This window comes from Homo sapiens, chromosome 15, assembly GCF_000001405.40.
Source record: "Homo sapiens chromosome 15, GRCh38.p14 Primary Assembly".
Classification (NCBI taxonomy): domain Eukaryota; kingdom Metazoa; phylum Chordata; class Mammalia; order Primates; family Hominidae; genus Homo; species Homo sapiens.
Genome location: NC_000015.10, coordinates 94,920,691 through 94,934,560, shown reverse-complemented (window position 1 = coordinate 94,934,560; position 13,870 = coordinate 94,920,691). Strand labels below are relative to the sequence as shown.

Here is a 13,870-nt window from a genome sequence, read left to right as displayed (position 1 = left end):
GTCCCCACTGGGCCATTGCCTAGTGGAGCTGAGGAAAGGACCACCGTCCTCCAGACCCCAGATGGGTAGATCCACTGACAGCTTGCACCATTGGCATGGAAAAGCCACAGGCACTCAATGGTAGTCTGTGAGGGAGCTGCCTAAGGCTGTGGGAGCCCACCCCTTACATCAGCCTGCCCGGATGAGAGACATGGAGTCAACGGAGATTATTTTGGAGCTTTAAGAGTTGACTGCCCCGCTGGATTTCGGACTTGCATGGGGCCTGTAACCCCTTCATTTTGGCCAACTTCTCCCTTTTGAAATGGGAACATTTACTCAATGCCTATACCCCCATTGTATCTTGGAAGTAACTAACTTGCTTTTGAGTTTACAGGCTTCTGGGTGAAAGGGACTTGCCTTGTCTCAGATGAGACTTTGTGTTCGGACTTTTGAGTTAATGCTGAAATGAGTTAATACCTTAGGGGACTCATTGGGAAGGCATGATTGGTTTTGAAATGTGAAAGGGGCATGAGATCTGGGAGGGGCCAGCAGCAGGATGATATGGTTTGGCTTTGTGTCCCCACTCAAATCTCATCTTGAATTGTAATCCCTGGTGTTGCGGGAGGAACCTGGTGGGAGGTGATTGGATCATGGGGGCGGTTTCCCCATGCTGTTCTCCTGATAGTGAGTGAGTTCTCTCATGACCTGATGGTTTTATAAGTGTCAGTTTCCCCTGTGCTTCCCTCTCTCTCTCCTGTCACCTTGTGAAGAAGGTGCCTGCTTCCATTTCTGCCATGATGGTAAGTTTCCTGAGGCCTCCTCAGCCATGCAGAACTGTGAGTCAATTAAACCTTTCCTTTATAAATTACCCAGTCTCAGGCAGTATCTCTACAGCAGTGTGAGAACAGACTAATATACAGGCAACATAGCAAGATCCCGTCTCTACAAAAAATTATTTAAATTAGCTGAGCATGGTGTCCTGTGCCTGTAGTCCCAGATACTCCAAAAGCTGAGGTGGGAGGATTGCTTGAGCCCAGGAGTTTGAGGCTGAAGTGAGCTATGATTCCACCTCTGCATTCCAGCATGGGTGACAGAGTGAGAATCTGCCTCAAAAACATAAATTAAGTAAAATAAAATACAACTAAGTTAGAACTTACTACTGCTCATTACCTATTCTTACAAGACATCTCATTTAGCCCTCAAGAACTTCCATTAAGTGACTGATGAGATGGCACTTAATATTTTTTATATTATCTGAGTGGGGGCCAGAAGGCTCTAGAAAAGCTACAGCCACTGCTTCAGTTCTCTCTTGTTTCTCTTCCATTTTGAATGTAACTAGAGAAATAGAAATGCTATCTTGAAATCTTATGAGAAGGCACAGCTAGATAGATTGCCATGAAATTCAAATAAATATTTTTAAACCTTCATTCTCTCTGATAATGAAGATGTTAAGTTAGTGATATATTTTCCTAATGTGTGCTAAACTGATCTATACATATAATGAATCCTTATTAGCAGGCAATGGCCAGTCAGAGTTACTGAGGAGTAGACATGAGGTGCAGCGGTTACTCTGAAGCACATATAATGAACACGAAGTAGAAATCCTACTGAGCCTTGACAATGCAGAATTCCTTGAATGTGGTAGGTGTTCAATAAGCATCCACTGAAATGATTTCTAATTAACATGATTTTTTAGCCATATATAATTAAACAATTTTTTTGAAAATAAATGTGTACATAGCTTTATTTGAGCTTCCATTTTTATAGTAGTATATGTGTAGATTCAGTACTATGATAATATTCTTAGAATTTCTCAAAGCATCTGAAAATGATATGAGATTTGGTAACTTACTTTCAAACTGAAGTTTTGAGAAAATTTTCTCAAAATTTAGTTGAAAAGATGCTGCTGCCTGGCTATTGTAAGATTGATAATTTTTATGCCCTAGTTGCCTGAACAATTATCTCAAAGATAAAGTCCTCTTATCTGGAGACAAATAAGAAGCACATATAAGGACATCTATTATCTCTGTCTTAGGTACGAAACATCAAGCTTGGCAATGTGCCATCTCAATAATACTGGCCACCAATGCCTTCTTAATTCTTGCTCTTTTTGCATACTGCATCTGACTTCATAATGAATAGACTTACATCTGGTACTCTCCCAGAAATCACTTCCTTCTCTGTAAAACCCACTGCAAAGGGATTGTAAAAATTTAGTTTTGGTCTTTACCCAGAATGTTAAATAGAACTTCCTAAAGATGTGAAGCTTTACCTGTGCCATTTTTCTTCAGACACTATGAAAGGAACTCTGTTAACAGCTGACATTTATTAAGTGGTTCACTACATATCTGCAACTAGGCTAAGCATTGCATACAATTCTCATTCTCAGAGCAAACCAATGGAATCAATGATATTACTTTCCATTTTACAGGACGCAAGGTTCACCAGCTAGCTCAGGGTCCCACAGCTAAAAATCGAAGAGATGGGAATTTAACCAAGACAAAGTGGGGCCAAAAAATTACACTCTTAACCATAAGAATACGCCATCTTTTGATGCAAAACATGGATTATTTATGTCCCATTTTCCAAGAGGACTGGAAAAGCAACTCAAGATTCTCTCCCTGGGGAATGCCAACAGTTCTGATTCTACACACTGAAAGATTATGCTGTTTCATCAGTAGAGTAGAAATTTGATTCCCAAAGGTAGACCTGCTATTTAACAAACAGGTTCACTAAAGTAATTTACTTGTCCTTATGGGTTAGACAGACACAACTGTAGGTGTCAAACTGAGTTAATAGAAGACCAGATGTTGGTTGGCACAAACTCTGCCAGCCAGCAGGAGAAATGAGGAAATTATGAGTTCAATAGGGATACTAGCCCAAAGATAAATGACGAGAGTCCCTTACACCTGGGGAAAGTTCTGTCATCAACAAAGTTTAGGGAGATCCACATTTCTCCATTTCAGGAAATATCCAACATAAATAGTTTCCTCAGAATACAAATATATATCAGAAAATAAATTACGAAAAATATATACTGTTTAACACAATGCTGATCAAGAAAACATTGTTAATTAAGTCCAATGGAGAATTACCAATTTCATAAGGCCAATCATCTCTTACTAAATACCCTTTGTACAAAGAGATTCAGAGAGTTTAATTTTTATTTTCCTCTCCCACGAATCCATAAATATAAAAGTTACTTAAAACTTAAATTATTTTGGAAATGTCAAAGGTGTTTGGATAGAATCATTCATAAAAATAGTGGTGCCATCTCCCAAACCCTACTATTCTCCACACATGGCTGAATGAACATTCTTTGATGATCTCATGCATTCCTAACACTCTGCTATGTTATTAGAATTTTGACGATGTCTTCTTAGGGCAGTTTCAGCCCTAAGGTGGTAAGTGAGTATTCTTACCCTTTCTTCTGACAACGCGCCTGGACAGCTCTTGCAGAATGAAGGAAACAGGATGCCAACGGGAAGCTCCTCACCATACACCATTTCCTGAATTTCTAGCTGTGCCACCTCCTTCTCTCTTTACTGCTTCCTACCACCTCTCAGTATAGTTAAACTTTAAGAGGCCCAGGAGAAAGAAGAAATAAGACTTTAAATAATTTATTTGGAGAAACAGTCAGTGAAGAGGAACAAATCATGTTTAGCTAAAAGAACCGGGACCTTTGACACTCCCCCTTTTCGCTCCAGTACCTGGAGCTCTAGCCGGATTGCATTAGTGAAATTTTCCTTTGATGGCATTTTAATATTCTGCCTTGATGACTTTTTAGCAACATTTACTTTCAGAGGTCTCGAGTGTTCCCTCGGAGGAAATGAAACATGTCAGAGCCCATTACAAAAATCAAAATTTAAATACCTCAACCACATTCGGGCTTACACACAATCCCATCAGTGCTTAAGCTGGGACTCACAACTATTCATTCTCTTGCTCAATCAGTAATGAGTACATTTGATGAAGCATTCCAGGGTCAGGGAACACTCGTTAGTGATCTAACTTAACCCATTGATTGCCTGGCCACAAAGGACCAGAGCAGAACTTGATTAAATTGTAACAGGCAAATAATTTCAAAACAGCACCAAAGCAAACTCTTTTTTTTTTCTTGGTCCTTTAAAAAATATTTGCAATTTCTCTAAAAAATAATGGGAACATCATGGCAATAAGACAGCTGTAGATTAGGGTCTGTATTATTAGGACATTTCTATATGTCTGTTTATCCTATGAATCTACCTGTTTTGTTTTCATCCAACTATGGCTATAGTTATGGTTAAGAGCTGCCGTAGACTGTAATTGGATAGTCACTAAAAGCATCATTTTTATTTGAGCAACACCTTAACCTTCTCATATTCTCCTGACTCCCTCAAGAAATTTCACCTTATTCTTTGCAAAGAAGCATCCCCAGGTTGAGATCTGACTGCCTACAGCATATTACATTACCTTTGGCATCATGGGGCTGGCCCCAAAGCCTCTTGGACGTTGATCCTGTATGCAAAAGCAATGTAAGTCACACATGTTGCTGTTTGACATCACAGAAAAAGCTTCAAAAACCCAATTTTGTCCACAGATGAAGACTATTTTTGCTATAAGAAAGAATCTCTCCCTCTCTTTCCATCTCCCCTTCTCCTCTTCCTCCCCCAATTTCTCTTGTTTACTCTACTTTAATTGAGCAATTTATATAATGAAGTAGGCAAATGCAATATTTGGTTACAGCACTATTATGCTCTGAACTTCAGAAAAACTTGCTGCTGCTTTCTCTAGTTAGGCCTATAGGTTAATGCAGATGCTTCAGCTCTTCCTCAGGATTTCAGACAGTATTCTTTACTGTGATCTTACCAGGGAATGGATGATCTACTCCCTGGCTTCCCCTCTTAAGGGACTTGAGGAATTTCCCTTTCAAGAGAGAATTAAAAGGGGCCAGGGGTGTGAGGGACACTTGTGAAGTGATCCTGTTTGGACCAAGTCTCTTCTAGACTTCAAATCATGTTCTAATATTCCCCATAAAACCCTTACAGTAAGTGCTATGGCAAACAGCCTGTCACGAGGATGTCAAAAGTTGAGGTCACAGTGTTCTTGTGCGCCCCTTAGGGATTGCCACTGGCCTCTCACATGCTACAGTGCAGCCCGATGGCTCTCACCAATATCTTTCACTATCAGAGTTAGCTGAACAGCTGTGGAGTTCTCAGTGATGCCCAAGATTTACATAGCATTTTTTTATTTGCCTCAAAGGAGGTCACATTTAAGATGAGAGATGCATTCCTTTCACCAGCTAAAAGCAATGTTCATTGCCTCTCCTAGTCTTGTTGCATGTAGTTTGCCAGAGGTGTGTAGTATGAGTACTATTTAGAAAAGAAAAACCATTAGAAAGCAGGAGAAAGCTTTAAGAAATCCAGGATGCCCAACAGAATGCTAGGAAAGTGAAAGGGTGAATTTCAACAATAACTGTGAAGGAGGCACCCAAAGTGAGTTTCTCACTCATTGCCCAGCAGCAAAACACTGAAAAACCTACTTTCAATTAACACTTTTCCTTACTTACTACCTACCCTTGAACTGGGTGCAGCTCCATGAAGCCAATGGCTTTCAGCCAGGCAGTTTACAGCCCTGCCTATCATGAGTTAGAAAAAGACCCATTTGAAAGCTTTACATTAAAAATATGTGATGAAGAGAGGGAGCCATGGAGCACAGTAGTCCAAATCTGAAGCAATTTTAATTTCTTATAGAAACTTAAAAATTGAAGAAATAGCCATTTTCTCCTCTAATTCTGTCTACCTTCTCAGAATTGTGAAACCTACTGCAGAAATATCCAGGATTATGGAAAAATCTTGACACTACTTTGGTTCCATTTGAAATTTTAGTAAGGATAGGCATAAGCATTCATACTAAATTTGTTCTAGCTTATCATTTTGCCATTAGCTAACTTCCTGACATCCAACTCCCCTCCCAACACACATTCCAGTTGAAAAACCATATTATGCATAGTTTAAATCTCTATTGCTTATTTTCCATTTAGGTTGAAATCAGAGAGTGACTTAAAGTTTTTACCCTCTAGGTCTTTTGGCTAAGACAGCTGCTTTTATAATTCCTTTTGCCAAAACTCAATGAAAAACTCATGTTAAACGTTTAAACTTCTTAAAAACTCTCCCCAAATGGATGAACTTTACCCTTCACCTAGAAGCCAACCCCATCTTCTCTCTGCACAGCTTCCCTTTTACATTGGAAGCCTATTTTCATGGACATCTTACCTTTCTTCTTGCTCTGTTATCCTTCTCTGCTTGCAGCCAGAGAAGTGAAGACTTAAATGTGGTCTAGGATTGTGATTTGGACTGCCTTATCCATGATTAGAAGTAAGTGGAAAGGAGGAAAAAACATAAGGTCTTAGGGAGGAATGTTTCTTTTTCTTTTTATTTTTTTGAGACTGAGTCTTGCTCTGTTGCCCAGGCTGGAGTGCAGTGGCACGATCTTGGCTCACTGCAACCTCTGCCTCTCAGGTTCAAGTGATTCTTCTGCCTCAGCCTCCGAAGTAGCTGGGACTACAGGCACGAGCCACCACACCCAGCTAATTTCTGTATTTTTACTAGAGACGGGGTTTCACCATATTAGCCAAGCTGATCTCAAACTCCTGACCTTATGATCTGCCCACCTCAGCCTCCCAAAGTGCTGGGATTACAGGTGTGAGCCACCACGCCAGCAAGGAATATTTCTTAAACTTTGTGGTTATTTTGTCATCAATAAATTGGGGATAATGAATTGTGGTGATGACTAAGTCATATAACACGGGGATAGCCCACAGCAAAGTGCTTGGCCTATAGCTGTCTCTTATTAAATGCTAGCTGTGGTCAATATCATGAATATTAGCAGTACTGCTACTATTTCTTCTTGAAGAAGAAGATAAGTAAGGATAGGCATATTGGAACACTAGGCATAAATGGGGAAGCAATCAAGGTGTTCAATCTTTGCAATACTTTTCTCTTCTTGCTCTATGGATTCTCATTGACTTTCTCTCTCTCATATGCTTGCTGTGGCCGCACTGGCCCTCCAGTCCTGTTACACTTCTTTCATAGCCCCACCTCAACCTAAGAAATGAAATATTGAAGAGAACTTCTATTATTTTTTAATTAAAAAAATTTTTTTTGAAATAAAGTTTCACTCTGTCATCCAGCCTCAAGTGCAGTGATATAGTCATGGCTCACTGCAGCCTCGACCTGCTAGGTTCAAGCAATCCTCCCACTTCAGCCACCCAAGTAACTGGGACTACAGGCACATACTACCACATCTGGCTAATTTTTAAATATTTTGATAGAGATGTGGTCTCCCTATGTTACCCAGACTGGTCTCTAATTCCTGGGCTCATGCAATTCTCTTGCATCAGCCTCACGGAGTGCTGGGATTACAGGCATAAGCCACCACACCCAGCCTGATCAGAACTTTGAGTGACGATCTTTTCAAGGAAATAGATATTTTACAGAGATACTAACTTTAGGCTAAAGGGACAGAGTTCAGATTGTAGAATGTGAAATATTAATAGCAGTTGGTCAGAAGAGAGAAAAGAGTTGGGACATATTAATGTCCTTGGCGCTTCTCTGAAAGAAAAAAAAAAAAAAAGAATAGTGATCATCTCCAGTAGGCTCTGGAGATGTTTGGTTTCAGAAAGTAAAGAGAGAGAGAGCGAAAGAAACAGAAAGAAGGAAGGAAGAAAGAAAGGAAGGAAGGAAAGGGAAATAAGAGAGGAAGAGAGGACACACTCACCGAACCTACTGCTAGTTTTGTTTCCTCCTTGGAAAAAACAAAGAGCAAATTGATGGTTTTTAAAATTTTGCAAGCATTGTGTTCTTATTGTCTGGGTCTTAGAAAGTTTGAACTAAAATTTTTCTCAAAAGACTTTCAATTTTAAAAACTTAGGGAAAACAGAAAAGGGCATTGGTTAAAATAGATTGAGACCCAATTGAAGTAAAATTTTCTACCATGATCATGGATGATAACTGCTTTCTTCTGTTTCTGAAAGTATTTTTATTTTCCAGATTTATAAAAACCACCTTCTTTTCTTGCCAAAATTATTCATTTGGCCGTGTAAACTAGAAAATCAAAACACCTACCAAAAAAAGAAGTCCCTACAAATAACTCAGAAAATCTTATAAGTGGGCTTTTATTGAAACTGACAGAGAAAAATATATATGTATTTGCTTCTTTTAGTTGAAAGGCAGAGCCCCCAGAATAATTTACTTACAAATATGGCATTTGGAATGTTTGCTTGATGGCCATTTCAAATTTTTATGTCATGACTGTCATGAATTAGAATTATTGAGATATAATTGTCTCTAGAATTATTGAGGTATGCACGTTTCCCCCAAAACATAACTAAATATTATATATTCCTGTCTCTGAACATGATTCATCATTAACATAATGATTGTCAGCATTAAAGAAAGCCAGCTCCAGCTAACAGAGGTGGACATTTCTCATGCCGAACCTGCTGGAAACTATGGCAGACTTCCCTGTCTTCAGTCCCTTCACTTGACATGTCTATGTAATAGAGTCTCAGGCAATAACACCATTCAAAAATAATGTAGTAATAATTTGCAGTGGTTTTATCATCCTGATCCAGGACCTGTATATGGATTCTCTGACCCACTTCCTTCTCCTATTGATCTTCATCTTGCCTCTCACATACATTATAAATCCGCCAAGTGGCATGCCGTGCTGCTCTTCTGTAACATGAATTTATGCTAATGGCTGTCTGCATATGCTTATATCACATATCTATATTAAGCTTAATAGTCTGTTACATTGCTTCTTAACCCTGTGTCCACACATGATTAACTTTCCTGATTTCTTTCAAAACCGTTAACACAGCATTGCATTTTACTCAACATGCCACTAAGTTTCTCTGCCTAATGCTGGAGTTGGGGGCATTATAAAACCCCCCAGCTTTTGCAAGCAAAAAGGCATCTAAAAAACTTAGGATGCATGAAAATAATCTCCTTTTTGTGTGTTTGTACAACTTGAAGCTGGCAAAAGCTTAAAGCCTAACTCAGACAGGAGACAAACTCCAACTGGTCTTCCGGGAGTTCACAGAAAAGGGTAGAAAAAACTTACCAAGAAATAGGAGTGCTGGGATGGTGCCAACCAGTGTGTAATGTGCCAATCCTTATTAAAGTTTATCTTTGAGGAATTTTAGAGGAATTTGAAAATATGGCACTAAGGGCCGGGCATGGTGACTCACATCTGTAATCTCAGCACTTTGGAAGGCCAACGCAGGCGGATCTCTTAAGGTCAGGAGTTTGAGACCAGCCTGGCCAACATGGTGAAACCCTGTCTCTACTACAAATACAGAAAATTAGCCGAGTATAGTGGTGTACGCCTGTAGTCCCAGCTACTCAGGGATCTGAGGCAGGAGAATTCCTTGAACCTGGGAGGCGGAAGTTGCAGTGAGCCAAGATTGGGCCGCTGCACTCTAGCCTGGGTGACAGAATGACACTCTGTCTCAAAAAAAAAAAAAAAAAATTAAATTAAAATATGGCACTAAGATATCTGAAATGTTCCACGAAGCCTCCCAGTGGAGTAAGAACAAATAATTCTAAAGTTTTTGGAATCTTCCTCCTTATTACTACAGCATTTAGGTCAAGTGAATGAGAGTATCCAAGCTACCAAAAATTCCCAGGGAAAAAAATAATCATGAAAGCATATGTCAAGAAATATTCTAGGTGCATTCTCTTCATCCAATAAGCTTATAGAATCTAAAGGGAGCTTGTAAATCCTGAAAGGGTCAAAGTTTGAGGCCAATTATGTAGCCGTAAGGCCCTGTACTGTCAGAAATTAGAACTTTTATAAATGCAAGAAGAGTAGAAATTTGCCACACATCAAACAACCCATAGGTTATGATTTCAGTGAAAAGTTCTTTATGTAGTACACAAACTTTGTCCACTACAGTCAATAAAGTTTGGGCTGAAAAAATTATATAATACCATATGGATGATGAAAAAACAGAAATTACGATTTTCCCAAAATTGTTTGTGTATGTGTGCATGCTCTACAAGTACTTCACATACACACATAGTTATGTATATTACTCGACAGATAGCATATGCAATTAGGATAGTTCCATACATTGACCCATGAGGTCTTCCACAAATAGGAACCAATGTTGTTATGCCCACTGCTGCCAAAGGTACTGATCTCTTCAAGAAAAGCTAAAATTATATTTATAGGAAATATTCTTATTTTTCAAATTGATATCATACAGGCCAAAGAAAAATAAAGCTGGTTAGAGACTGACTTCAGCCCAAAGACTGCCTGCTTGCCAGCGTTGGCTTGAGCCCTCCACACATACCATTGTCTGATGAAATCCCAAGGTCCTCATTGGTTGCTATTTGCAGAAAGCCTCATGGGTCCCTTCGGTCTTCAGTACACTTAATTTGAGGTTAAATCTTATGGCAAGCTGGACTCTGAAGATAAAGAAGATCTAATTTTTGAGCTTCTTCAAATATTTGAGGAACCGAATAAGCTGCCAAAGGTCCCAGAGAGTCTTGATCAGTCTGAGGATCATTATTGAACCATTTTGTCTAGTATGGGAAATATACATCTTTCAGCTTTTCTTCATAGGATGCCTTGCTCATTTGTATGCATAAACTTCTATTACATCTTGTTTTACCCTAATAACTGGTCTGCACTATAGATTTTTGTCTTTGCTGATGACATTTATATCTGACTCTGAGATTGCTGAGGATCAAGATTTATCCATTAATTAAACATATCATGCTACCTATAACAAGGAAGTACCATCAAATCTACTCTGCAAAATGAAAAGTGTGAAAATTCAATGATTCTATGAATTCCCCATTAAAAAATATTTCTGCACTTACCTTCATCAATACCATTTATGGGACAAGATACACATACTGTAAGACAGAGCTTAAGATATATTTCATACTAAAATACTACAATACACTTCCCGTGTGTTTAAAATGTTGTCATCTCATGCACAACACAGTACATATTAAATATGTCTGGTTGTATAGTATTTATTTGTTATGCGTTGATGTTTACTTCAAAAGCATATGTGATGCATATGCTAAATAAATAAAAGAAAACTTGTTTGCTATCAGATCAAAAATATCTCTGGTAGTGAAACATGCTTTCATTTTAATAAAGATGTTTTATTAGATTTCAGAACTAAATAAATGATTCATAATGCTTGGACCCTAAGACATCTTCCTGTGAAAAAGTTGGCTTGATTTCACTTTCCTTTTGTCTCTGCAAAATCCATGTGTTCATTTCACGATTGTATTTGAAACAAAATGCTTGAGAGAGTGTTTTTACCACGTTGCATTAATGAGACCATAAGATTTTTTTAAACCAAATTTTCAAATGACTGCCTGCTAATTTCCAATTGCTTTTTACATTACCCTTTTTTCTCATTTGTAACTCTGCTGCAAATTCACAGAATAAGAGTAATAGTAACAACTACAATAAAAAGAATTTTAATTGCCCAGTAGTAAGTTCAGTCAATTCTAGCAGGTATATGGGCAATTTCAAATATAATCTGTGAGTTATCATATGGGAAACATTTTTCAGAAACAAGGAGGTCATTTTTATTTATAAGTCAGTTAACATCAACTGATGTCTTAAGGACATTTTGCTATACTTTTGATAGTTGAATACTTTTTCCTTATTAACAACTGAGAGTTATTCCAATAAACATGATAGAAACCAGAATATCTGGGTTTTTCATGACCAAAGTGATAAGGTTAAGAAAATACATAGATTTTGATCAAAACACCGAAGATAAAGATTTGTGAAACACTGGGTAGAAAGTTATCAATTAAAACACAATGAAGACACCAGATACTAAGAGACGATCACAATTCTTCATGTCAAATACCGAACTATGGCTCCTTTACCAGTAACTCATATGCTTCAGGTTGTTTTTCCATTTGCCCTTTTAACTAACATTTTCTTTGATTGAACAGACATACTTTGCTCAAGGATGAAATTTCATTTAGAGCAACATTTCCCAAAATTAGATCTCCGGGGGGAAAGATTTTGAAATCCATTAAGTGAAGATAAACATTTACACTCACACACTTGAAGTGTCATACAGCTATTGGTGTGTTAAGAGCAAAGGAGAAAGCTGTTTAATGTTTTTATTTCAGTGCGTCCTGAGTATTTGTCCAAGGGAACTTAATTTTGAGTAACACCTGTTAGACAGGAAAGGGTTAACTCAGGAGGCCTGGGTTGCTCGAACACTGGACATCCCAGAAAAACGCCTATTTTCAGGAATGGCTCGTAGCCAGTGGCTTATGAAAGATAAGCTCTGAGCCCTTGGAATATTCTGCCTGATAAGAGTAGTTTACATCCCTGAGGTCGTTGTTGCTGTTTTTATATCGAATGTCTGTTTTCGTATGCCTCAGGCTTTGGACTGTGCTGTATCAGTTTGACTAGATAAATTTATCCTAACAATGTGACCTTCAGAAAACACCTATTTTTATTTATTCTAACATTTCTTATGGTGAACTCTATGGTGGGACTGGAGTCTGAGTAGCTGAGGTCAGTCCTGAGGGCATTCCATGCCTACATGATTGACCCTCAATAAAAACCTTGGATAGCAAAGCTCAAGTAAGCTTCCTTGGTTAGCACCACATACATGTGGTCACTTGCCAGTGCTGAGGGCATTAAGCAGGTCCTCTTGGATCTATGAGGAGGGGATACCTGAAATCTTGCCTCTGGTTTCTCCTGGACTGTATCCCAGCCTTATCCCTTTGCTGATTTTAACTTGTATTCTTTGCTGTAATAAATTATAACCATGAGTATAACATTTTTTTCTATGTCCTTTGAGTTCTTCTAGCAAGTTGTCTAGCATGTTGTCAAGGGTAGACTTGCTAGAAGCACCTACCCTTATTAATAAGTAGAAGCACCTACTTATTAATATTCCACAGAAATGAATTTGGGGGACAAAGGTTAAAGCTATCTGTAACCTACTGAACTAAAAAGCAATTTTTAAAAGAGTGATAATAAAGTTAATATTGAATACCCTTTGATGTGAACTTAGGAGGAAAAAGAAGAAACCATAAAGCAGTCTTGATATGAAAGCAATCTTTGGTAGCTTTGACTCTGGCTTGGGGATATTCTATTCCTCAAATGTAAAAGATAAGGATATCTAACTTTTAATAGATGGTATGGTTTGGCTCTGTGTCCCCACCCAAATTTCATGTGGAATTGTAATTCCCAATATTGGGGGAGAGTCCTGGTGGGAGGTGATTGAAACATGGGGGCCAGACTTCCCCCTTGCTTTTCTTGTGATAGAGTTCTTATGAGATCTGATAGTTTAAAAGTGTGTGACACTTCCCCATTTGCTGTCTTCTCTCTCTCTCTCCTGTCACAATGAGAAATGCCTTGCTTCCTTTTCATCCTCTGTCATGATTGTAAGTTTCCTGAGGTCTCCCACTCATGCTTCCTGTTAAGCCTCTGAAACTGTGAGTCAATTAAACCTCTTTTCTTCATAAATTACCCAGTCTCAGGTGGTTCTTTATAGCAGTGTGAGAATGGACTTATACAGTAGGAATGCATGTGAATGTGCCATACACATATGCTGACATACATGGTTATACACACATTTAAAAATTCAACATGTTTTTTTACCAATGTATGAAACAAACACATATAACAAAATAAAGCCTTTAATGAATGATATCTGAACTACAGTTTATCAATTTGGTTTCAGCTAACTGCCAAAATAGAGAATAATTTTTATTAATTAACCTTAATTCTCATTCAGAAACTGACTTAAAGAAAAGTCAAGCAGTAAAGCACAGCTTTGGAAAATGTGCCCCCTGTACTTGACATATACTGGTAAATTGACAACTGAGGTACCTCAGATTCATTA

The 13,870-nt window shown here is 38.3% G+C and overlaps 1 annotated feature.

Moving 5' to 3' along the window:
- Nucleotides 9,291-9,502: a silencer, noted in NCBI's record as "fragment chr15:95468288-95468499 (GRCh37/hg19 assembly coordinates)". NCBI's record gives its function as "represses an EF-1alpha promoter that drives an FKBP-Casp9 reporter gene in an ReSE screen in K562 erythroleukemia cells {active_cell/tissue: K562}" and the evidence as "EXISTENCE:reporter gene assay evidence [ECO:0000049][PMID:32094911]".